This window comes from Homo sapiens, chromosome 6 (genome assembly GCF_000001405.40).
Source record: "Homo sapiens chromosome 6, GRCh38.p14 Primary Assembly".
In the NCBI taxonomy this organism is placed as follows: domain Eukaryota; kingdom Metazoa; phylum Chordata; class Mammalia; order Primates; family Hominidae; genus Homo; species Homo sapiens.
The window spans coordinates 38,122,864-38,149,768 of NC_000006.12; the positions used below are offsets into that span (position 1 = coordinate 38,122,864).

The 26,905-nt window shown below is 43.5% G+C and overlaps 1 protein-coding gene and 1 long non-coding RNA gene across 5 annotated transcripts in view, besides 1 other annotated feature; both read left to right on the forward strand.

Moving 5' to 3' along the window:
* Positions 1-26,905, forward strand: part of ZFAND3 (zinc finger AN1-type containing 3) — a 334,898-nt gene that overhangs the window by 303,137 nt on the left and 4,856 nt on the right. The gene's annotated exons all lie outside the window — the stretch shown is intronic.
* LOC124901314 (uncharacterized) lies at positions 264-24,600 on the forward strand. Its single transcript, XR_007059570.1, has 2 exons — positions 264-14,756; positions 15,575-24,600. It is a non-coding gene; the product is annotated as an uncharacterized LOC124901314 (long non-coding RNA).
* Positions 15,304-16,148: an enhancer, noted in NCBI's record as "OCT4-NANOG-H3K27ac-H3K4me1 hESC enhancer chr6:38105943-38106787 (GRCh37/hg19 assembly coordinates)". NCBI's record gives its function as "activates a minimal SCP1, AML or CMV promoter by ChIP-STARR-seq in primed H9 embryonic stem cells {active_cell/tissue: H9 hESC(primed)}" and the evidence as "EXISTENCE:reporter gene assay evidence [ECO:0000049][PMID:30033119]".

Sequence of the window (26,905 nt, forward strand, 5' to 3'; positions counted from 1 at the left end):
TAAAGGAAGATTGGGACTCAGATATGGGAAATGAGGGGATGCTTGGGCAAAGCTGGTATTTAGGAGATGAACTCTGTTCAGCTGGATGAAGTCTTGGAGTCAAATGAGGACAGACTGTTAGAAAGGGAGGAAAAGGATTCCAGATTCCAGGCTGAGGAGTTTGGATGTTCGTTTATAGTGAGAAGCCATCAATAGTTTTGAATACAGTCAACATGATCTAATCTGACTTTTAGAAACATGAAACATGTTGGAAAGCCATGGAGGTTGTTGAATCTTTTCAAGGGAATGATCTAGAGAGAATGTGAACTGATTGAGTCAAAAGGAATATGCATGTGTCACAACTGTTGCTGCCATTGCAGGGGGCTACACAATGAACAAACAGTGATATCCGTAAGGTCTAGAGTGGGGCAAGGAGCTGCAGTGATTAGGACACATGTTGGGGACATGCATTACCAGGCTGATCCATTTCACCAGCATCAGAAATCAGCCCACGTGTCTGTGCCTTAATTTTAATTCTTATTCAAGTGTAAACCTGTCAGGAACATTTGGCATTCTGTCTTATGTCTGTAAAGGAAAGTGAGGCAGTATGTTCTTATAAAAAGCCTTATTCTGTTCACAGTGTTCTAGCCTAGATCCACCAGAAAACCCTGTTATGCAGAGAAACACCTGAGATCTTTTATTATGACCAAAACTGATTTGACTGGTGAAATGTTATCATTATTGCCATTGTGTGGAGAGTCCATGCTCTACTATGAGTTATAGGGAGAGAGTGTATCCATCTGGGTCACCAAAATGTGTCCGGAATTGGTGGGTTCTTGGTCTCACTGACTTCAAGAATGAAGCTGCGGACCCTTGCGGTGAGTGTTACGGTTCTTAAAGGTGATGTGTCCGGAGTTTGTTCCTTCTGATGTTCGGAGTTTCTTCCTTCTGGTGGGTTCTTGGTCTCGCTGGCTTCAGGAGTGAAGCTGCAGACCTTCGCGGTGAGTGTTACAGGTTATAAAGGCAGTGCAGACCCAAAGAGTGAGCAGCAGCAAGATTTATTGCAAAGAGCGAAAGAACAAAGCTTCCACAGTGTGGAAGGGGACGCGAGTAGGTTGCCACTACTGACACAGGCAGCCTGCTTTTATTCTCTTATCTGGCCCCCACCCACATCCTGCTGATGGGTCCATTTTACAGAGCGCCAGTTGTTTTGACAGGCTGCTGATTGGTGCGTTTACAATCCCTGAGCTAGACACAAAAGCTCTCCACATCCCCACTAGATTAGCTAGATACAGAGTGCTGATTGGTGTATTTACAAACCTTGAACTAGACACAGAGTGCTGACTGGTGTATTTGCAATCCCTTAGCTAGACATAAAGGTTCTCCAAGTCCCCACTAGACTCAGGAGCCCAGCTGGCTTCACCCAGTGGATACCGCACTGGAGCCGCAGGTGGAGCTGCCTGCCAGTCCCGCGCCATGCGCCCGCAATCCTCAGCCCTTGGGCAGTTGATGGGACCGGGCGCCATGGAGCAGGGGGCGGCGCTCCTAGGGGAGGCTCGGGGCTGCGCAGGAGCCCACAGCGGGGGGCCAGGCGGGGAGGCTCAGGCATGGCGGGCTGCAGGTCCTGAGCCCTGCCCTGCCGGGAGGCAGCTAAAGCCCGGTGAGAAATCGAGCGCAGTGCCGGTGGGCCGCACTGCTGGGGGATCTGGTGCACCCTCTGCAGCTACTGGCCTGGGTGCTAAGCCCCTCACTGCCCCGGGCCGCTCCGAGTGTGGGGCCCGCCAAGCCCATGCCCATCTGGAACTCTAGCTGGCCCATAAGCGCCGCGCGCAGCCCAGGTTCCTGCCCGCACCTTTCCCTCCACACCTCCCTGCAAGCTGAGGGAGCTGGCTCTGGCCTCAACCAGCCCAGAGAGGGGCCCCCACAGCGCAGTGGCGGGCTGAAGGGCTCCCTGAGCATGGCCAGAGCGGACGCTGAGGCCGAGGAGGCGCCAAGAGTGAGCGAGGGCTGCGAGGGCTGCCAGCACGCTGTCACCTCTCAAGAGCATGGTTAAGCAAAAGACCCCGGCCTTTAGGAACTCCTGTTTATATGCTGAGTCTGGGTGATGAAAGACTAAAGCTTCTCCAGTACTCCTAAGACAGCAACAATTGGGATGTATGTTACCTGTGACTCAAGAGAAGAAAGTGTCCCATCCATCCCCCCAAAAGGAAAAAAAGTTCCACAACCTTTTGATGGGAGTTATTATATATGTGAGAGCTAAGGGTAACTAGAAATCTTGAGGCAAATTCTGAGAAAATTTTCTTCCTTTGCTATACTCCTCCCTTCACTCTCACTGTACTTTTTACCTAAACATAAGTATGCTATCTGTATTCCCCATTTAATCTTTGATGTGTAAGTGTTCCAGTCTAAAACCAGATAGATTAGTCCCTCTGCTGCTCCTCTGTAAATTGCAACTTGAGATGTTAGAGCAAAACAAATGAAACCTTTTACTGAACACGAACTCCATGTATTTAGCCCATTAGTGCAGGACTGTCCCAGAGACCCAGCCTACCCTATGTTCTTTGACAGGGCTGTAGAGAGATGTCAGAAACATGAAGAGCTCCCTCTCCCTAAGCAAAGGAGTATCAAAGACTGAGCTCTTCTTACAAGACCGAATGTGCAGGGCACATCCGCTGCAGCCTGTGTCACATCCCCACCCATCCCATACTGACAGGTATGGCAGAAGACCCTTATCCCATGGCATGAGATAAATTTCCATCTTTTTAGCATACTTGCAGCTACTTGTATAGTCTAATATTAGTGGCAGTAACAGCACAATAATAGTGTTACCAAAAGGTATTTGGATAGGTTATCCTGCTTAGAATACCTTTTTTTATGGGGAGAAAAATTATTATAAAAGGAAGTGAATTATTAGTGTCTTTTATTTTAGTTCCAGTAGTAAATAGTTTTAGTTAATTCTTTGTTTAATAAAGTTTTTAAAACAGCTTTTTGAGAAATAATTTACGTACCATAAAATTTGCCCATTTTATGGTTGAATGAGTTTTATTACTTTTTTATTTCTTTAATCTTGTTTCAGACCCTGATTTTTTAGTTCTTATTACATTATTCATTTCTTTTTAAAATCTTTATTCAGAAGTTGAATGAGTTTTAGTAGATTTGTGTAAGTTGTACAGCCATCACCAAATTCAGTTGTACAATACTTCCATCATCCCAAAAAGTTCCCTCATGCCCCTTTTCAGTCGATCCATATTCTCTCCCACCCTAGCCCCAGCCAACCACTTAAAGTCTGCTTTCTGTTGCTATAGTTTCACCTTTTCTACAATTTTAATATCAGTGGATTCATACCTACATAGTATGTTGTTTTTGAAATTCATCCATATTATATATCAGTAGTTCATTCCTCTTTAATGCTGAGTATTATTTCATTGTATGGATATACCACATGTGTTTATCCATTTGCCAGTCGACATACACTTGGGTTATTGCCAGTTTGGGGCCATTATGAATAGAGCTGCATTTATGCAGAAGTCTTGTGTGGACATGTGTTTTAATTTCTCTTGGGTATATACATAGGCATGGAGTTGCCAGGTTAAATGGTAAGTGTGTCCTTAACATTGTAAGAAACTTCCAAGATCTTTTCCAAGCTTATATCATTTTATATTCCCATTAGCAATGCATTAGGGTTCCAGTTTCTTCCTGTTCTCGCCAACATTTAATATTGTCAGTCTTTTTAACTTTAGGTATTCTAGTGGCTGTGTAGTAGTATCTCATTATGGTATATTAATTTGTATTTCCCTAATGACCAATGATGTTGAACATATTTTTTATATGTTCTTTGGTCACTCATATATCTTCTTTTATGAAGAGTCTGTTCACACTTTAAAATTTTAACCATGTTTACAAAAAGATTCACAAAATTGCCATCTTAATATTGTAACTCATCAATATGATATGTCTCTCTATTTAGGTGTTTCTCAGCCACATTTTATATTTTCAATGCATAGCTTGTTAAATTTATTCCTAAATATTTTAGTTTGTGATGATATTGTGAGTGGAATTTAAAAGTTTTATTTTTAGATTGTTTTTTTTTTTGCTACCACTTAGAAATATATCATTTTATATCACTTTTTGAATACTGCAGCTTTGCTAAATTTAACTTGTTAGCTCTCGATTCCTTAGGATTTTCTACATCCATGATCATGTCATCTGCAAATACAGTTTTACTCCTTTCCAATCTATATGCCTTTTATTTCTTTTTCTTGCCTTATTGCACCTCCAGCATAATGTTGAATAGAAGTGGAGTCATCCTTGCCTTTTCCTTGATCTTAGGTAGAAAACATTGCATTTCATCACTAAGTATGATTCAGCTATAGATTTTTCATAGCTGCCCCCCACAGGTTGTAGTTGATTAATACATTCTAGGAAAACATGGGAAATGTTCAAATATGTTCACCAAAAACAGATGATTATTTAACCCATGGTAGGCTACCACGTAGCCTGTAACTGGTCAACAAAGCTGTGTTCTAAAGAGTTTTGCCATCCCATAGACTCATTTCTGTTTGCAGATGAAGCATATTCCCTGTGTTGATAGTCATATGTCACGCGTGTGTCTAGCTAGAGTGGTGAAAGCCTGCAACCTGAGCTTAGCCCTCTTATTTTTAAACCAGTATCATAAGAGACACCCAGATAGCTGTCCTGGGCTATACTCACTTGAGGTGATGAAAGCAAGCCACAGTGAGAGATGTTTAGAAATGCTTTGTTTGAATTAAAGGCATGAAAATTTGTGTGTAGATAATAGAATCACGTACCACCAGAATTAGAAGGAGCCTTAGTAATCATTTAGTCTCATCTCTTTTTTTTTTTTTTAAATAAATGAGAAAACCAAGATCGAAAAGGTAGTCCCTCACCTCAGATCACACCTGTGTGCTAAATAGTGGTATTCCATGTAGCCCCTGAACTAAACTTCAAGGCCTGCTGAAGAGTTTCTGTCCAGGGACCCCTCATGGCAGTGCCTGCTCCTCCCTTCCTTCAGCTTAGGTTTCAGCCACACTCACTGTACCTCCCTGTCACTTCTTCCTGCCCTGTAGTCTCTATTGAACCCAGACTATCTCTTCTGAAGTACCCACATTTCTTGGTCTTTCTTCCAAATTCACCAGACTCTCTTAACTTCTTCTTGTTAGTTCAGCCTCTAAAACCTTGCCCAGGACTTGGGACCCTGTGTGGAGCCTTTGCAGCAGAACCACCAAATAAGGCCAGTTATGGCAAACACACGCACACGCATAGTAGTTAGTATTTAGTCAAAATAATCGGATTTTTAAAAATGTTTTCTTTCAGATCAATAATAAATTACAAAGTTTTACTAAAGTTATGTCCTTTCCAAAGCCTTTAATGTGTAGTTAAAACTAATTTATGTTAAGCACATTGTATGCAAATACCTGCTACTAGGTACTCTTAGTCACCCTAATAGATTCTTCCTGTGATTCCCCTCTTTTAAAATTTTTATTTCCATAGGCTATTGGGGAACAGATGTTGTTTGTTTACATGATTAAATTCTTTAGTGGTAATTTGTGAGATTCTGGTGCACCCATCACCCAAGAAGTATACACTGCATCTTATTTGTAGTGTTTTATCCCTCACCCCCTTCCCACCCTTTCCCCCTGAGTCTCCAAAGTCGTTGTGTCATTCCTATCCCTTTGCATCCTCATAGCTTAGCTCCCTCTTAGGAGTGAGAACATACAATGTTTGTTTTTCCATTCCTGAGTTACTTCACTTAGAATAATAGTCTCCAGTGTCATCCAGGTTGCTGCAAATGCCATTAATTCATTCCATTTATGGCTGAGTATTACTCCATCATGTATATATGTATATATATACACCACAGTTTCTTTATGCACTCATTGATTGATGGGCATTTGGGTTGGTTCTACGTTTTTGCAATTGCAAATTGTGCTACCATAAACATCCATGTGCAAGTATCTTTTTTGTATAATGACTTCTTTTCCTCTGGGTAGATACCCAGTAGTGGGATTGCCGGATCAATGGTAGTTTTACTTTTAGTTTTTTAAGGAACCTCCACACTGTTTTCCATAGTAGTTGTACCACCAGCAGTGTAAAAGTATTCCCTGTTTACTGCATGCACAGCAACATCTATTATGTTTTGATTTTTTGATTATGATCATTCTTGCAGGAGTAAGGTAGTATTGCATTGTGGTTTTGATTTGCCCTTCCCTAATCATTAATGATGTTGAGCATTTTTTCATATGTTTGTTTGCCATTTGTATATCTTCTTTTGAGAATTTTCTATTCATGTTCTTAGCCCACTTTTTGATGGGATTTTTTTCTTGTTGATTTGTTTGAGTTCATTGTAGATTCTGGATATTAGTCCTTTGTCAGATGTATAGATTGTAAAGATTTTCTCCCACTCTGTGGGTTGTCTGTTTACTATGGTGACTGTTCCTTTTGCTGTGCAAAAGCTCTTTAGTTTAATTAAGTCCCAGCAGTTTATTTTTGGTTTTATTGCATTTGCTTTTGGGTTATTGGTCATGAAATCCTTGCCTAAGCCAATGTCTAGAAGGGTTTTTCCAATGTTATCTTTTAGAATTTTTAGTTTTAGGTCTTAGATTTAAGTCTTTAACCCATCTTGAGTTGATTTTTGTATAAGGTGAGAGATGGGGATCCAGTTTCATTCTCCTACATGTGGCTAGCCAATTATCCTAGCACCGTTTGTTGAAAAGGGTGTCCTTTCACCACTTTATGTTTTTGTTTTGTCAGAGGTCAGTTGACTCTAAGTATTCGGGTTTATTTGTAGGTTCTCTGTTGTTTTCCGTTCGTCTGTGTGCCTTTTGTTATGCCATTACTATGCCGTTTTGGTGACTACGGCCTTATAGTTTAGTTTGAAGTCAGATAATGTGATGCCTCCAGATTTGTTCTTTTTATTTAGACTTGCTTTGGATATGTGGGCTTTTTTTTTTTTCCATGTGAATTTTAGGATTGTTTTTTCTAGTTCTGTGAAGAATGTTGGTGGTACTTTGATGAGAATTGCACTGAATTTGTAGATTGCTTTTGGCAGTATGGTCATTTTCACAATATTGATTCTACCCATCCATGAGCATGGGATGTGTTTCCATTTGTTTATGTTGTCTATGATTTCTTTCCGCAATGTTTGTAGTTTTCCTTGTAGAGGTCTTTCATCTCCTTGGTTAGGTATATTCCTAAGTTTTCATTTTGATGGTTTTTTTTGTTTGTTTTGTTTTTGCACCTATTGTAAAAGGGGTTGAGTTCTTTATTTGAGAGCTACTGATTTGTGTACATTAATTTTGTATCCAGAAACTTGCCGATTTATTTAATCAGTTCTAGGAGCTTTCTAGAGGAGTCTTTAGAGTTTTCTAGGTGAACGATCATATCATCCATCAGCAAACAGTGAGTTTGACTTCCTCCTTAATGATTTGGATGCCCTTTATTTCTTTCTCTTGTCTGATTGCTCTGGCTAGGACTTCCAGTACTATGTTGAAGAGGAGTGGTGACAGTGGGCATCCTTGTCTAGTTCCAGTTCTCAGAGGGAATGCTTTCAACTTTTCCCCATTCAGTATTTTGTTGGCTGCAGGCTTGTCATAGATGGCTTTTATTATATTGAGGTATATTCCTTGTATGCTGATTTTGGTAAGAGTTTTAATCATAAAGTGATGCTGGATTTTGTTGAATGCTTTTTCTGCATCTACTGAGATGATCATGTGATTTTTGTTTTCAATTATGTTTGTGTGGTATATCCCATTTATTGACTTGAGTATGTTAAACCATCCCTGCATCCTTGGTATGAAACCCATTTGATCATGGTGGATTATCTTTTTGATATGTTGTTGGATTTGGTTAGCTAGTATTTTGTTAAGGATTTTAGCATATATGTTCATCAGGGATATTGGTCTGTAGTTTTCTTTTTTGGTTATGTTCTTTCCTGGTTTTGGTATTAGGGTGATACTGGCTTCATAGAATGATTTGGGGAGGGTTTCCTCTTTATCTTGTGGAATAGTGTCAATAGGATTAGTACCAACTCTTCTTTGAATGTCTGGTAGAATTCTGCTGTGAATCCGTCTGGTCTTGGACTTTTTTTGTTGATATATTTTTAATTAGCATTTCAGTCTTACTGCTTGTTATTGGTCTGTTCAGGGTATCTAATTCTTCCTGATGTAAGCTAGGAGGGTTGTATCTTTCCAGGAATTTATCCATCTCGTCTAGGTTTTTCTAGTTTATGTGCATAATGGTGTTCATAGTAGCCTTGATTGATCCTCTGTATTTCTGTGTTGTCAGTTGTAATCTCTTCCGTTTCATTTCTTATTTAGCTTATTTGGATTTTCTCTCTTCTTAGTTAATCTTGTTAATGGCCTATGAATTTTATTTATCTTTTCAAAAAAAACAGCTTTTTGTTTCATTTATCTTTTGTGATTTTTTTGTTTCATTTAGTTTTACTCTGATATTGGTTCTTTTCTTCTTCTGGGTTTGTGATTCCCCTCTTAAGGAGTACTTCTAAGAAGTGTGGGCCTCAGCCCAGCGCTTTAGAGTCCTTCTTTAGAAGGTAAAAACGCAGTTCTTTAAGTAATTTTAATGTACCCCCAAGTTAGACCATACTGCCTGTACATTTTATAGACTCATTTGTTCATAGGAAACACCAAGATAATTTAGAAACAAAGAGAATTACTGGAAATTGCAAATGAGTAGTACCCACATCAATGAGGTTTCATATTGGTTCCAGTCACTTCCATTCTCTCTCACTTAGAGATTTATACCTTTTGGGTGTGTAACACATACCTTCCTCCCACTGTTGTCCCCTTCCTTGCCAGACTCAAAAAATCTCAGCAGGCAGGAGTACATGATGCTCTGTAACTTCCCACAGCCCCTATTGGAGTATGTGGCCTGTAGTGGCTGCCCAGTCAGTGGTGACTAATAATGTACAAGAAAAAATGGAAAGTCCAAGAAATGTGGTGTCCTCATGAGCCTGCTGCTTATGATTAGGGGAAAGCCCTTTTGGAACAGTGTTTGAAAGCAGGCCCAACCACAGCTGAGTGGGAATATTTCTGGGCCAGTAGCCATGTAAATTCTTGAGGTCCAGGGTACATGTGCAGCCTCAGGATTTCCCAGTGGATTATTTGGCTGAACGAAAAAGATCCAGATAGAGTGTTTCCCCCCCACCAATTTTTATTGGTAGAGGAAGAAAATAATTCAGACTAGACATATATGCTGTCAGATAGGGTAGTGTCCTTGCTTGCTTGAATTAAAATTATTTGGTATGCTTATGAGTTTAATTAAATAACTCAACTTTGGGGAAGGGTGTACTTGCACAAATAAAACCTGTGTTTGTATTAGTACTTGGACATGAATAAGATGGGTTCTGTGGGCTGGGTGCGGTGGCTCACACCTGTAATCCCAACACTTTGAGAGCCAAGGTGGGAGGATCGCTTGAAGCCAGGAGTTCAAGACCAGCCTGGACAATGTAGCAAAAACCCGTCTCTACAAAAAAATAAAATAAGCCTAGTGTGGTGGCATATGCCATAGTCCTAACTACTCAGAGGCTGAGGGAGAGGAATTGCTTGAGCCTAGGAATTTGAGGCTGCATTGAGCTGTGATCATGTCCCTGCACTCCAGCCAGGGTAACAGAGTGAGACCCTGTCTCATAGAAAACAAAATACATGGGTTCTTCGGAGGTCACAGACCTACTGTGTGTAACCGCACTAGTCTCTGATTCCTGCCTAACAAACTTGCGATTCCTTGACATATAATCCAAGTAATTAAGGTATCTTAGAAGCCATCCATCTGGTGCCAGTCCAGACCCCTAAACTGACGCTGCATAAACCCCATCAGCAGTTTCCTGGCAGGTAGTCCCACTGTGTACATCTGCATGGAGGGAGTGTGGCATCTCCTGCATGGAGGATGTATGGCATCTCCTGTTGCTGGGCAACTTAGATTGACTAGGTGCTTCCTCTACCCAGCTTAAACTGGCCTCCCTCTAGAACACATACTCATTCCCCCTCACTCTGCCCTCCGGAGCAGTCTGTCACAAATCCTCTTCTTCAAGCCTGTTCACAGATTTGAGCACTGTGATGTAAGCTTTCCAGCAGCCCAGCTCCCGCAGTAACAAATTCATTCTCAGAGACCACAGAACTGATATTGGAGCATGAAGGACAGGGTCAGAAACAGGACTGGACTCAGTGTTTGTCTCCACAGTTTTTCTCAGTGAGGCCCTCACAAAACCTGGTGTCTTTTTTAACAAAACCCTTCATCTGGTGATCTCCCCTGAGACAGCTCAACAGTCTTCTCTTCTGTGGAGTCCATGGTTGGCCTCTGTTTATGATATATGTCTCAGAGCATATTGAAATTGTCTGTTTACATGTCTGTCCTTTCTCCAGACCATGAGCACTTAACGATATTCTTCTGCAGTTCTCGGCTCTTACTGCAGTGCCTGGCGTGCGGTGACACATTAATAGACACTTGAATACACTGTGAGATCCCTGCGTCTTGCAGTTGTGATCATCTGGGTGAAGGAAAAAGAGGAATAGCTTTATTGAACAGCTAGTATATCCTGGGTACCTGTACTTGAGTTATATCATTTGACTCTTAAGAGCATTGTTGGACAAGGCCGGGCGCGGTGGCTCACGCTTGTAATCCCAGCACTTTGGGAGGCCGAGGCGGGCGGATCATGAGGTCAAGAGATCAAGACCGTCCTGGCTAACATGGTGAAACCCTGTCTCTACTAAAAATACAAAAAAATTAGCCGGGCGTGGTGGCGGGCGCCTGTAGTCCCAGCTACTCGGGAGGCTGAGGCAGGAGAATGGCGTGAACCCGGGAGGCAGAGCTTGCAGTGAGCCGAGATCACGCCACTGCACTCCAGCCTGGGTGACAGAGCAAGACTCTGTCTCAAAAAAAAAAAAAGAGCATCATTGGACAAATGGTACCTCCTTTTTTATAAAGTTGAAACTGAAACTTTGAAGCTTAGAAATATGAAGGTAGCACCTGGGATTTGAGCCCAGGTCTGTTGAGCTCCCAGAACCCCACCACTTTTTCATATCCCCAAGCTGGCCCATGGGGTCCCCAAAACAGTGAGGAGAGGACTACAGCAGTAACTGTCCATATTTTCAACCATACAGAATTTAGTCCATTCCTTAACCACTTCCCCGTTTCAGAGATGCTTTTTATTGAATGGTAAAAATGTATGTACCTGACTGTGAGAACCACTTAAGATGGGGTAATGAGTCATCCAGTGCACTGTGTTTTGTTGTGTCCCGAATGCCACATCTAGATAAGATGCTTCTGGAAAACCGGGTCCACAGCATGGTCACCTTTTGGTCTCCCGCTGTACCTGGGTAATATGAGACACAGTGGCATTTAATTCTGTTGACATGCACATTCCGTTCTCCTGAGTGCTAATTCATATCCTCATATTCCTTGAAAAGTTACCTCCTCCAAGATCCCTTATTGCAGTTGACTTCCCCTTGGTGCTCCCGATTTATTACACATCGGTGAATTATATTGATTTTATTTGCAGTTGATTTCTTGCTTTGCTCTTTGTGACCTTCAGCTATTTTTCTCTGCATGTGTCTCCAGCTATCTTAAAAGGCAGGAACTAGTGACTTCTTTTTTTTCCTTCTCCTCCACTCAGCCCCTAGAATAGAGCTCTGTAAACAGTGCACAGGTGACCAATAAATACTTTTGACTCCTTGAGCTTGATAGCTTCTTTCCCTTGCTGGACTGACAGCCTAACACTGGAGCCTGAATCCTTTATTTATTAGATGAGATTTCTATAGCACCTTTACTCTGAGAAGATCAGTATCAATGAAGTTTGTTTCTGCTTCTGGAAAGTGCTTTTTACCTAAGCAGACCAAAGTCCTGATAAGACCACATGACAGCCCTTACTCCTCAGCTGCTGGGGCCTGGAGACGCAGACTAAGAAAAGCCTCACCACTTCACATTTTGCTGTCTTGTTGCCAGCCACGAGCCTGAATAAGATTCTGTGCCAGCATAAACTCTAATGTTGGTGGATACTGTAGTCAGTGTTACAAAAAGAGCATTTGCATTTGGAGAGCATTGCCATCTTTTGGAAGGGAGACATGGAGAAGACTGCCTTAGAGGTCAGTATATCTGCCAATAACCAGATCCCTGTGAATGGAGCTTTCATGGGTTGTTGGCTTTCACCTAGTGCCTGATGTCAGGGGGCACTAGAACTGTTCAGTCTCTCGAAGTCGTGTTGCTTAGTGAGCTAAGGTTACTGGGACAGGACCCATGAGGGGCGTGACAGGTGATACATTCCCAGAGACTCAAAAGGAACAAGCCCTGGATAAGTTGGGAATAAGCGCTGAGAGGTGACACTCTTAACTGTTGGGAAAAGGGGCTAGCACACTTCAGATCTGGATAGTTGAGACTGACCATGAAATACTACAGCAAAGTTCAGAGGCAAAAAAACTGAAAAAGGTGGATGTGTTAGCCCTATAGTTCATTGGAGAAGTGCCTAAAATAATTGGATTAACTGGCTTCTCTAAGAAATTTCTCACCTTTCTACATCTCCGTGTTTTGTGCAGGCATCCCCATCCATAATTCAGGGTTAGACAGAGCTCAGTTAAGAAATGAACACGTGAGGCCGGCCGTGGTGGCTCACGCCTGTAATCCCAGCACTTTGGGAGGCCAAGGCGGGTGGATCACCTGAGGTCAGGAGTTCGAGACAAACCTGACCAATATGGTGAAACCCTGTCTCTACTAAAAATACAAAAATTAGCCAGGTGTGGTGGCGTGCGCCTGTAATCCCAGCTACTCAGGAGGCTGAGGCAGGAGAATCGCTGGAATCTGGGAGTTGGAGGTTGCAGTGAGCCGAGATCGCGCCACTGCATTCCAGCCTGGGCAACAGAGCAAGACTCCATCTCAATTAAAAAAAAAACAAACAAAAAAAACACGTTTCCGGTGAGCTGTGTAGACAGATGAGAGGTACACACGTAAGAGCTGCTTGGTGTGGACACTTACTAGCATCACCAAGTTTGGCCTGCCCTTGAGCCTGCAGTCCAGAAGGCTCCCTTCTCTGTGGAGCAGGTATTAAGGCAGTCATAGCTGTGGATTTCCTTTTCCTTTTCCTTTTTTGAGAAACAAAAATGGTCACAAGTAAAAAGAAATCCATGTGTTGGAGAGAAAAGAGACACAGTAGAGAAGGACTAGAAATGTCTGGAAATGGAGGCGGGGCAAAAATGGAGGTGTGATGGTGGGTGTGGGAAGTCCACTGGCATTGACCTGAGAGAGGTGTTTGGACACAGCTGCCAGTGCCTGAGGATGCCACCGCTTATTTCCTCCTGAGATGTGAAGGATGTTCCCTTTCTCTGTTGTTGCCTGTGGAAATGAGAGGCAGAGCCACCTGTACTGTCTAGTGTATTGCTATACCCCAGTACAGTGCCTGTGACACAGTCCAAGGAAGATTACAGGGAATGTCCCATGTAGCTTTGGATACTTCCTTGTTCGTGATCACAGGCCACACCAACTGGTGCACATGCTAAAATGTACAGTGCCTGGGTGGGTGACCGGAAGACAGATGACTCTGGCCCGTGGGGAGTACTGCCTGACTGCTGTCTTCCATAGAAGACAGATCTTTGCATGATCCAAGGCAGGCCTGCTTCATTTACTCTGATGGCTCCTCCAGAAAAGTACTTTGGGACGGCAAGGGAGCTAGGGATGAGTGTGTTCCATGCCGATACTAGATTTCTTTGTTAGTATTAAATACTTGCTTTTGCTCTAGGCCACAGGGTGGGAGGTGGCAGGCAGTGGCTACCACAGGTGAAGATGGGTCCTGTGGGTCCAGGAGACAGGCTGGCAGCCACCTGTCTGTGCCTTGAGGACTGTAAGGGTCATCAGGACACGTGCTGTGCACAGCAGGCCACTGTTCTCCACACACCCAGTGCTGTTCTTTCTTGGACCATGGCAGCTGTGAGTCAGCGCACCGTGTAGTTTGTGCATCCTTGTGATGAATGCACAGGATGACATTTGTTTCCCTGAGCTCTGCACCATATGTTCTAGATTCACCCAGGAAGTGGGGGTTCCAGATTTACAAACTAAAGGGCTAGGTTTATGTTAATACTCTTGCATCAATTAAATTGCTCTTCCCTCAAATCCAGGATTAATTTTCCATGGAATCTGGAGTAACTGACCAAAATACCAGGGTGGAATAGGAAATGGATGTCAGTGGGAATTGTGTGGTTACATTCAATTCTGTGTTGTCTGTACTCCGCTTGTTTGTAATTATGAGCAACAGCAAAGCTTCAGTTCCAGGAGAGTATCCAGTGCTATCTTGGACATTTCTGGGTTACCTCTAAGAGTGAGCTCAGCAAGTGTAGGCTCCTATGAATAACGGCAATAGAAAGGCACTGTTAGGAAAGTAAACGTGCTACTGCAAAAAACAGGATACACCACAAGCCAGACAGCAGTAGTTTTTCAGTTGTGCCCAGTGCACTTGTGTTCACCCAGGTAACTGGATGAACTGTGTGGTGATGGTGTTCTCCTGTGAGGGGGAGGGGCACAGTTACTAGCATTAAATATTGCTAGAAGTAATATTTTTCTGTTTTTCTATCTTGTTGCTAGAAGCAATATGTTTCTATTTTTAATGAGTCAAATGCTGACTCTATTTATTTATTCATTCTGTTCATCTTTATTGAGTTGTAGAGGAAGAGCAAGGGGTAAAACTGACAAAAGTCCCTGACCTCTTGGTGCTTTTATTCTTTAGGGGAGAGATGCAGTAAGCAAGGGAACAGATAAACAAGGTAATTTCTGATGGGAGCAGGAGATATGATGTAATAAAATGACAGTGTGATAAGGGAAAGGGGGAGCTGCAAATAGGGAAGGGGGAGGCCAGCACCTGGGAGGACATGAAAGCTGAGCTGAACATAAAAGCTGGGAGAGCCAGCCATTCAGAGAGTTGGGAGAGCAGTGCCCTAGACAGAACAAAGGCCCTGGAGGGAGGAACAAACTTGGTGTATCTGAGGAAGAGAAAGCTGGCCAGCCCGGCCAGAGCACAGTGCGTTGCGGGAGGAGAGTGGAGACGCAGCAGGGATCAGTCGGGGGCTTGCATGTCTTTGCAAAGAATCTGATTATTGTAAACATAGTGAGAAGGCATTGAATGGTTTTAAGCAAAGGAGTGATCTGACTTAAATTTTAAAAATATTCCCCTGGAGAGCCAGGCACGGTAACTCACAGCTGTAATCTTAGCACTGGGGACGCGGAGGTGGGAGTATCAGTTGAGCTCAGGAGTTGGAGACCAACCTGGGCAACATAGTGAGACCTTGTCTCTATTAAAGAAAGAAAAAAAAAAGAAAAATATATTTCTCTGGGAGAGAAACACATGCTTGTGTATGCACAGATGCATGGACTCTCAAGAATACATAAAAATAGACAGTGGTGGTGGTTGCTGGGCTTCTGGAGAGGGTAACAGAATGAGATGGGAGACTTACTTTCTGCTAAATATCATTTTATACAATTTGAATTTTTATTATATTCATGTACTACCTTTAAATAGGCAAAGTAAGAATGAACAAATACAAAACAAGTACATCTCAGGTCAATTTTTTTTTTTTAAATCCAGAAGTTCCCTCCAACTGCTGGGAGGGGGACGGCTTGGAGGGCAGCAAAGGCAGAAGCAGGCAACACGCCTGAGCTCTAGCAGCCTGGTGGAGCCATCGGCCTCACCGCATTCCAGCCCTGCTGGCTGCCTTTCTCTTCCATCAGTATGCTGAGCTTATTCCTGCCACAGGACATTTGCATGAGAAGAGGTGCAGAGCCGATTCAGGACATCATTTAGATCTAACTAGACCTCTAATAAAGTCAGTGTGAGGAGTAAGGAAAAGAGAGGAATCAAGAATTGAGCCCACAGTTTGACTTGAACAGCAGCTGGGTGGATATATTGCCACTCACACTGAGGCAGAGAAGATGAGGAGATAAACTAACAGAGGTCAAGAAGATGAAGAGTTGTTTCAAACATGGTACAGTTGAGATTCCTAGCATTATTCTAGTCAGACGTGTTTGTCAAGTAGGCCATTGGATATCGGGATTTGGATTTGAGGGGAATTCATAGATGGAAATATAAGTTCAAGAGGCATCAGCATGGATACCCTATTTGGATCTGGATGAAATTACCTAAAGGAGAAAATGCAGGAGGACGTGATGCTGGGTGATTTTAGAGGAGAAACCATGAAGGATTCCAAGGAGCAGCAGTTGGTCAGGTGGGAAGAAAGGAGTGTGACATCACAGAAGATGAAAAATAAAAGTATTTTAAGAAACAGAAAAGTGGACAAATGCTGTAGAGGTTGAGGTGAGGATATTGGATTTCGCCCCTTGAATACCTGATTGGCCTTTGCTTGCTCCCTAGGGTTCAGAGAACACAGTCTTTCTATACCTAACCTATCATTCATTTACCTGACCAAAATATTTTGAGTGAACCAAGCAGTATTTTAGGGATAGAGGATATGTGATAAATTACAGAAGCATGGTGCTTGATTTTATGAAATCTAGCCAAGGAGACAAATTAAATGAACAAATTCCACAAATGACGCTAAATTAAAATTGTGACTAGTGATTGAAGGAAAAGTTCAAGATGCCTTGAAAGCATCCAACTGGGCCCTAACCTAGTCTGAGGGTCCAGGAAGATCTTCCTGAGGAAGTCATTGAAGCTAAGGCCTGAGTAAGCAAGAATTTCCTTTGGAAGTCAGTGTGTCTGGGACATAGAATGCAAGGGAGTAAATGGCACAAGGGGAAGCGGCAGCCAGGGTTGAGATCGTGCTTCAGTGGGGAAATTTTTATTGTAATCAGTGGAGCACGGTAATCACAGACAGGGCTGGATCTCATCATCTCATCATGTTGGCTGCCCTGAGGAAGGTGGCTTTGATGTGGGGCGACCACCTAAAGGAAGCTGTTGCAGTAGCCTCGGAAAAAAGTTACTGGTCTCTTTGACTAGGTGGTGGCTTATGACGCTGGCTGCTCTGAGGAAGGTGGATTTGATATGGGGCGACCACCTAAAGGAGGCTATTGCAGTAGCCCTGGAAAAAAAGATTCTGGCGGCTTTGACTAGGTGGTGGCAGTAGAGATGGCAAGAAGTGAATGGATTTGATTTTTGGAAATCGTATCCACAAGACTCGGTAATTGAATGTGAAGAGTAAGTAAGGTATCAGTGATGACTCCAGGTTTGTGTCATGAGCCACTGGCTGCATGGTGGCCCTATTCTCTTAGAATGGGAGACATTGAAGAAGAAGCAGATTTGTGAGGAAGTAGCAAGTGTCCTATGTTAGACATCTCAAGTCTGAAATACCTGAGATGCCAAGTAGATAATTGAATACACAGATATGGAGCTCCAAAGAGAGGTCTGGGGCAGAGAGATAAATTTCAGAATTGTTAGCATACATAGTTAGAATTTTAACCTTGAAGAAGAGTGTGAAGAGTGTAGGATTAAGACAAAAAGAAGGTCCAGCACTGAATAATGCTAATATTTCAAGGATAGCAGATGAAGAGCTATCAGAGAAAGAGAAGGAAAACAAGGTAAGCAGATGTCACAGAGCCCACAGGAGTAGTCAGCTTTCTAGAGGTTCTAAGTGATAATTGAAAAGGGTCATTAGATTTAGTGATTTTCAGGCTCCATTCGTAGGGTGTTTTGTTTTGTTTTGAGACAGGGTCTTGGTCTTTTGCCCAGGCTAGAGTGCAGTGGCTCAATAATGGCTCACTGCAGCCTTGACCTCCTGGTTGCAAGTGATCCTCCTGCCTCAGCCCCACAAAATGCTGGGCTTACAGACATGAGCCACCATGCCCAGCTGTTCATGGGGTGTTTTTTTATACCCAAATTGTAACCATTAGGTGAAGTCATCATATCTGAGCCCCCTCTCCTACACCCCCAAGTGAAATGGAACTGGGCTATGTGGTTATTAATACCTTCCACACAGGAGATTTGTAGAGTCCTTTAGTGGGCTATCCATTCAGTAGGGCTTTCACTATAGTGTGTAGTCTGACTTCAGATTTGAACTCATGTCTGCAGAAAATATTTTTCTATACTGAATAAGCCTCTTCCCCTTCAGGGCAGGTGTTTTTAAATAAACTAACTTTAAACATGGAGAATCAAGAAGCCAGCTTCTCTGCCCGCCCCCACCCCCACCCACACCACACAGTCTTATAACAGTGGACAGCAGACATTGTAGGACTTCTGACCTTGCAGTTCAGATTTTGTGGAAACGGGGCAAAAGCATGCTTGTACTTCTAAGCTCCTCGGAATGACCTTTTTGAGTTATCGTGGTGAAAACAAGAAGCCCTTAGAGAAACTTCATTCTTAAAACAAGCACATAAAACAAGTGCATGTGATGCTGGCACAGTTTGGGTGAAAACATAGATTGTTTGCAGAATGTCTACAGCCCATTCCTTTCTCCTGCTCTTCCTTTCACTACAGCTCCCAGCCTGACAGTCTTGGGGAAATAGACATGAGGCTTTTCAACAAACAATCAGTACGTGACCAAACTTGGCAACACATGCTCTGCCTCTGTTTGTGACAGAGGCTTGCAGAATACTCAGCTGTACCTGTAGAGGAGCTCCTCTCTGATGTCCTTGGAAAGTTTCCGTGTCCCTTTCATGGTGTCCCTAACCACTGAGTACTTTCCAGGCTGCACTATATAGTCTTTGTATATTTAATTCAGATTTCTCTGAAATTTGCATATCTTCAGAAATTTTTACTTAGCTTGTCACTTAGCATGCATTTATAGTCTGTAAAGACAGGCTTGTGGAGGGGGAGAGAGGAAACTTGTACATCATATGTTCAGAGGAAGATTTCCACATTCGTTCTCTTTTGTCGGCAGTGACTTCTCAAAGGAGAATGGAACCAGAATCTAGATGGGGAGGTAAAAGCAAGTGGGGCAGAAAAAATGTTGTGTGAATGGAGGAGGAAGGAACAGACATGATGGGGGAAGGGGGTCAGAGTCATAATGCCAAGCATGTCAGCTGCACCGTGTAGGGCAAAATGGCAAAAGGGATGACCCCACCCCGAAGAATCATCCCAGGACCAACCAGCCTTCCTTGAGCACATGCCGGGTGCTTCACAGGCACGGTTTTCATTTATGCCCGTAACAGCCCCATCTTAGAGCAGACACAGCGGAGGTTCTTCAAGGTTAAATGGCCTGAGCCACATAACTGTCAAAACAGGGCAGCAGGAACCTGAATTCAGTACTTGGGTCTAAAGCTCACACTCCATGCTGTATTATCCTGAAAGAGAATGTGTAGTTCAGCTGTTAAGGGACTTGCTGTGGAAGCAGGGTTGAAACTAAGTTACAGGTCTCTCCCTACCCCAGTTTCTCATCTTCATACTCCCTGTGATCCCAGTGTGTTGATTGAAAGGTCAGTTGGGAAAGATGGGGAAAATGTTCCTTTCTTTTCCAGGTGTTTCTCTGGAGAGAGATGTGTGGCATTTATAGTCTGATGCCCCCTGACCACGTTGCCACTCGGACATTCTGTGACTTGGATGAACTGACTCTTGCCTGCAAAGGTGCCTTCAGGGAGGCTAAACAGGCCACAGCTCCCTGGTGAGCCATGTGTCAGGAGCCTGGCAACTGAGTTACCCCCATGGGCCCAGGCTGTGTCTTCAGCAGCTCCTGGATGGAATGCGTGCCTCCCCTTTTGTCATCTCTACTTTAACTTTGGAGCTGGTTTTGTAGGAGACTGCTCTGTTTGAGAAGATAATCTTTTAAAGGATTGGGAAATGCTGAAAGAGAAAGCCAAACAAATCAGGAGCCTACTGAAAGGAGGATAAGGTCGTTCCCAAAACAGAAGTTTCGTACCAGCACAGCACTCTTCCCCTGAGAGCCGTGTAGAGGCTGGAGGAGGTGGAGGGGCCCGCCAGCAGTGCAGGTGCCTCCTTAGGGGTTTTTGGACCCTAAAGACTGCCCCAGGTACCAAGTGGTTAATGCCATCTGCTTTCAGCTACTGAAATGAAATGATGTTTGAAAGAGCAAGTCATTTCATTATTCTTGTGGCAAAAACTGCCTTGAGCCATTTTCTCTTAGTTTTTAAATATATGTTCATCTCCAGATAAAACAGCCTAGCATATGAGCCTGCAGCCAGCCCCCGTCTCCTTGTGGGCTGGGCATTGAAGGGCTTGCTTGGAGGAGAGTTCTCATAAGTCACAATATCTTTCATGGTGTGGGCCTCCTAACCTTACCCTACCCGCTGGGTTGCAAAAATAGGTTTTCCTATATGGAGGCAAAAGAGTAAGCGATGGAAGGTTTGTTCTCTGGCTGTCAGGTAAAGTGAGGGCTGCTTGAGCTGGGTGATAGAAGGAGACATTACTGGGACGAAGCCGACATTCTCCACAGAGGAGAGGAAAGAGGTAATTAGAGCTTTTGCAAGAATGGGGCTGTCTGGAGAAACAATAATAAAGGACATCAACAGTGGTGAATTTTTTTATACTTTTAAAATGGCATGTGTACAAACTGCATGGGGAGCTTCGTTAGCTGGACTGTGGCACAGTTTTCTTGCCTGCACTGCTGACGGCTCTCTGAGAGCGATGTGACGGCACATGCCAAGGGAGGGCTCTCAATCACCGCTGACTGCACACAGCTGCCTTATGAGTTCTTTGCACAAGGCTTTTGTATCTTTGCCTCTATCATACTGCTTTTGGTTCTAACATTTAGCTGGCATGTAACTGATATTTTAATTTATTTGGGGGAAAGCAGATGATTGCTTCTCTTTTAAAGCTGTCTCGATATGATTTAGTGTTTCTTATGAAATTGTTGAGGAGGAGTGTGGGCTTTTCTAAATTGCAAGTTTTCCTTCTCTTTGAAAAGCAGACAGACTGATGCCCAGCTTGTTGATTCACTGTGGCTTTGGTTCCAGTGCCCTGGGCAGCTGACTTCTGTCCATCCAGTGGTTCTCTTCTCAGCCCAGCAGAGCACTATGTCAGCCAACTCAGCAAGCTGGGATCCAGTTCTGTTTATTGGAGTCTAATGATTTTCCCCCTACCATGCAAAGCCAGGGATGGAGGAGAATGCAAAGCAGATGCCTTCCATTCCCAAAACACCTGCAGCTGCTTTGCCTGTACCCTGGCCTGATGAAATAAAATGCATTTAGATCCTTTAATATAATACATTTCTGTGCTACAAATTCTGCCTTGGGCATTGGGTCACCGGATGTGGTATAATCCAGGGATTGCTGCTGGTGGGAGTATAAATGGCTAATGCTTTACAACAAGCTTCCTTGTAACCACCTGCTGTTCCCAACGTGTACTTACATATGAGCTATGAGGTCAGTGAGCTGTCCTAAGCTTTAAACAATTATTACCTTGCTAGAAAAATGTGATATATATATATAATATATATATATATATATATATATATAATATATAATATATATATATATTTTTTTTTTAATAAGGTTGCTTGATCATTTAAGGAAGATGGGTCGGGGATATTTGTCATTTATTTTTGAAATAGACACTTTAGATGCCAAGTGGTTCATGAGTTGATGTACCACTTGAGATTAATGAGTTGAGATTTGGAGGGTCAACTCAGGATGCTTTGGGAGGTCTTGGATAGCTTCTGTCTGCTGGAGCTCATGTGCATCCACAGGAATAGTCTCTGATTTACCAAAGAACCAGATCTACCTGCCTGGGCCCCATCACTGTGCTGCGCCCAGCACAGGCTAGGGGGTGGTGAGCAGGTGCCTCTGCGCAGACAGCAGCGTGCTGCCACCTCGGGCTGCACACCAGCAGAGGCAGAGTGTGTTACAGTACCACATCCCCAAGGCTCATCAGTATTTTTAGGTCCTCCTTCAACTTTTGACAATTTAAAATTTAAATGAGCAAGAAGTGTAAAACATTTGCAAATGAGGTAAAAACACCTGAGCAGCTGGAGCTGCAGCCCTCCCTGGGCTGTGGCTTTAATAAAACAGCCACTTGAGGGAGCTTCCAAGTGAGGGATCTGCAAGAAAGCAAATGTTTAATTTATTATAGTCCAAAAGTATCCAGAGCTGTCCAGTTTTGCCAACTTGAAATAATTCTTTTTACTTCAAGATAAAGCCAATATTTAACATTTCTGTCTGGCACCGATTGAATCAAAATGTCAGGGGCTCAACTTTTGTGACTTTCAGCATCACCTTCTTTGTCTCCCTCAGGAAATTCTGTGTAAAAGGGCAGTTCAACACCTGCCCAATTCTTAGGGATTGGAGGGAAATGCTGGCCTGTAGGGTCCAAGGGCCTCAGCCAAGGGTAGAGGCCTCACCTCAGGCAGGATGTAAGGTGGGCTCCTTCCCTCTGCCCTCCAGCTCCTGCTCCACCCACCTCTCCAGACCCCTTACAGTAGCCATTCCCTGTGGCCACTGGGGGAAGGGAACCAGCGGACGCTACTTGACTTGGTTCAGCTGCCCTCTGTGCCTAGCCTGCCAGCATTGTCGAGAGGTAAAGAACACAGAACACACACCCAGCCCGACCTTCTAGGTTGAGTTACACCTTGGAGTGTTCCTTTTGGGCAGTGATTGATGTTGATTTTTGTATATAAGTGAGTGAGATGTTGTTACAATTTTCACAGCACTTAGAACAAGGTGTTAGATGTTGTGGCACCTTTGCCTAATTATGGCATTTGTGCAGATTGTTCTCAGTCATGTAGGTTTAGTCTCAAAACATCCACTCCTCCTCCCTGTGTAGACAGAGGTAAGCTGTGGCTGTGGATGAGAGCATCTGAATGAATTGTATCCATTTCAGATGTTAGCTTTAAAAGCTATAGGGTCATGTTAGAAGTTTGGTTCCCGCCAAATGAGTAATTTTAGAGATCTGCACATCAGATCTTTATGGGTCTTGGAAAAATGCTCCTCCTCAGTTCAATTTTCTGCCGGGAATGTGTTTCTAAGGCCCTTTAGGTATTGGGCATCTTCAGGTTTATGTGGCACATGGGTCATTAGGGCCATAGGCCCCATTTCTGCATCAGGAGGGCTGAGTCCAGATGTTCTGGTTTAATATTTATGAGTGGCTTCCATTGAAATACCTGTCCTTCCGAGAGAAGTGCCCCTACCCCCTGCCTCTCTATTCCGGGTGAGTGAGCTGAAAACTGCCTCCTGCTTTTCTCATTCACATGGGATTCTTTCAGAACAGAGTTTTAGATAGGTCTTGAATTGTGTTTTTGCCTTTTGCCATAATCTTGTGTCTTTGGTAGCAACAGTCAGGGAAGTGATTGCTCTACCCCCATCACTGTGCCAAGCCACAGGCTTGGGCGGGGCCCCGGGATGACAGCCTTCGGTGGTTCAGCCACTGTGGCTGTCTGGACAGGCATCCTCTTCTTCCATTCCTGTTCCATGTGCCCCCTCGCGATGCTGTCTGCTCACTTGAAGGAGATCTTCTCAGATGGAGGGTGTAGCTGGTGGAGACCCTGGGGAAACCTTCCCCCCAGATCACAGGGGGTGTCTGGTACTACTTGCTGTGGTTGGGCCTCCTCACTAGTCCTGCTCTCTCTCTTCCCATGCCCAGGGCAGCCTGTCAGAAGCCAGAATGGTAGCAGGCAGAGAGAGGCCTCAGTCCAGAGGGCCATGGAAAGTGGAGTCATGGAGCACAGTGCCTGCAGAGCTGCTGTTTTTCCCTCCCTTTGAAATCGAGGGCTCATCCTAAATTGCTCTTCAGTGCCAACAAGCAAAGGGACGCCCACACAAGTTCTTCAGCATTTTGTACAGATTTACTGAACGCAACTCAGGCATCCTTAAGGAAGCTCTGCAGCTTCCTCCTGGACCAGTATTTCATGAAAATCCAGTAATCTTGGGCTCTAAGGAGCAGGGTAGCCAGTCATGTGACTTGGCAGGGGAAAGGGCTAAGGTTAAACCACATTTAGCAGGCAGATTACATTTTCAGCCACTTTGCCATGACTCTTCCTCTCTCTTTTTGGGGGGTGAGCATCCTTTTAACCATATTCCCCTATCCCTTATCCTCCTTTATCCCTTCAAAGCACCAAATGATATATAGCTGTAGTAAGCAAAAATCTGTTGAAATGTTTTTAAAATTACATGCTGCTGAACGATAGGGCCATAAGGAAAGTGTAGATATGGGAATGTATGTATGTGAATGAGTCAGTGAATTTGATTTTTTTTATTTGTACAAATGTATGGGGTACATGAGAAATTCTGTTACATGTATATAATGCATGTGATCAGGTCAGGGTTAGGGTGTCTGTCACCCGAGTGCAGTACATTTTTGCTAAGTATAGTCATCCTACTCCACTATCTAACATTGAATTTATTCCTTCTATCTTACTATGTGTTTATACCCTTTAATCCACTTCTCTTCATCCTCCTCCCTCTCCACATTCACCCTCCCAGTCTCTCTCTTTTCACTCTCTACCTCCATGTGTTTAAATTATTTAGCTCCTGAATATAAGTGAGAACATGGGATATTTGCCTTTGTGTGCCTGGTGTATTTCACTTAAGATAATGACTTCCAGCTCCATCCATGTTGCTGCAACTGACATGATTTCATTCTTTTTGACTGAAGAGTATTCCTTTGTGTATATATACTACATTTTATTTATCCATTCATCCCTTGATGGACACTGAGGTTGATTTCATATCTTTGCTTTTGTGAATAGTGCCACAATAAACATGCGAATGCAGGCATCCCTTTGATATATTGACTTTTTTTCCTTTGGGTAGATACCCTGTGGTGGGATTGCTGGATCAAATGATAATTCTTAGTTTTTTGAGAAATTTCCATAGCGGTTTCTATAGTGGCTTTCCTAGTTGACATTCCCACCAACAGTGGGAGTCCTTTTCTCTGCATCCTCGCCAGGATCTGTTATTTTTTTGTCTTTTTAACAATAGCCATACTGACTGGGGTAAGATATCTCATTGTGGTTTTGATTTGTATTTCTCTGATGATTAATGATGTTGAGTATTTTTTATTCACCTATTGACTGTACATCTTCTTTTGATAATTGTCTATTCATGTCCTTTGCCAGTTTTTAATAGGATTTTTTTTTTCCTGTTAAGTACCTTATGTACTCTGGATATAGTCCCCTGTCAGATGAGTGATTTGCAGATATTTTTTCCCATTTGGCAGGTTTTCTCTTTACCTGTTTGATTATTTCCTTTGCTGTGCAGAAGCTTTTAATTTAGTTAAGTCTCATTTGTCTATTTTTGTTTTTGTTGCCTGTGCTTTTGAGGTCTTAGTCATAAATTCTTTGCCTAGATCAATGTCCATAAGAGTTTTCCCTAGGTTTTCTTGTAGTATTCTTACAGTTTCAGGTCTTGAGTTGAAGTCTTGAGTCCATTTTGAGTTGATTTTTGTGTGTGGTGAAAGATAGGGGTCCAGTCTCACTCTTCTGCATGTAGCAGGCCAATTCTCTGAGCACCATTTATTGAAGAGGATTTCCTCTTCCCAGTGTAAGTTCTCATTGGCTTTGTCAAAGATCAGCCGGCTGTGAATATATGGCTTTATTTGAATTTGATTTTAATATATAACTTTTTAAAATCTGGGGAAAAAAGAATTACATGCTACCCTGGGTAATAATACCAGAGCTGCTGTCGTAGTTCAGCAGGTCAGTTCTGTGTACTCAGTGTTTTCATCCCTTCTGGATGCCACCGTCCTTGGCCCTCTCTGGAAAGGCCCTTGTTGGTTTCTAAGAAATGAGGTAGAGGAAGTGTTAAGGCTGGCCTAGCTAACATGACTATAAATCCTCTGTGTTTTAAAACTGCTCATATTGAAATTATGGAAAATAATCTTCTGTAGCAGCCTGGACTCATCTCTCTCCTTACCCAGCTTGGATCCCAGAATTCAATCAGAGAGCAACCCAAGGTTCATGACACTTGTAGTGGTTTCTGGAAACAGATCTGTGAGTACCAAGAAAAGAGGATAAAGATTCATCCCATCCACCAGTCATTCCCATGCACCTCTACCCGCCATCCCCTGTATCCAGGACAACCCCCTTCTGACACCAAAATGCATTTCACCATTGGCTGCTGTCGGTAGATAATACCTGCTCAGCATTTGGGACAAGTTCCAGACATAACTTCCTCTTAGTGAATGATCCTGACAGGAGAAAGAATTGAGCTTAATTTATGCCATCTAATAACCTCAGTGCAGCTACTTGGGAAGTTAGCCCTCCAGAGTTTCCCCCAAAGTTTTCTCCAGTGAATTACAGTGCCATATATTCTCATTGCTACCAGCGCTGCTCCCAAAATCTATCTGCTGTTTAATAGTTTTTACCTTTCAAAAATGCAAGCTGGCTGGGCGTGGATTTTTGAAAGCATTCCTCCTGCCTTGGCCTCTCAAAGTGCTGGGATTAGAGGGTGCCTTCTAATCCCAGCAATCCAGCACTTGGAAAGGTCAAGGCGGGAGGAATGCTTGAAGCCAGGAGTGTGAGACCAGCCTGGGCAACATAGTGAGACCTTGTCTCTACAAAAATAAAGTATAAAAAAACAGCTAGGTGTGGTGATGTGTGCTTGTAGTTGCGCTACTGGGGAGGCTGAAGCAGGAAGACCTCTTGAGCCCAGAAGGTTGAGGCTGCAGTGAGCTAGGATCGCACCACAGCGCTCCAGCCTGGTGACAGAGCAAGACCCTGTCTCAAAAAAAAAAAAAAAAAAACCTAAGCCAAGTGTCAAGATGTGTCTAACAGGTACACAGAACCTGGGCAGAGAAATAAGGTGTTTTGGGCTGGTAGAGGGAATGTCAGGGTAGCTACTGTGATAGAGGGTAGAGGGAGTATCAGGTAGCTACTCCTTGGGCGGTAGAGGGAATATCAGGGTAGCTACTGTGGGTGTCACTCCCTGTTCCTTTTTCCAGAGTCCTGGGGCTCTCACATCCACCAAGCTGGCTGCTCACTAGCTGGCGGAAGGCAAGCTAAGCAAACATGGAGAAGGGGGGCCAGATGTAGCATTTCCCTTCCACCCCAGTCCATCTTTGACTAATGAGGTGTTAAGCTGA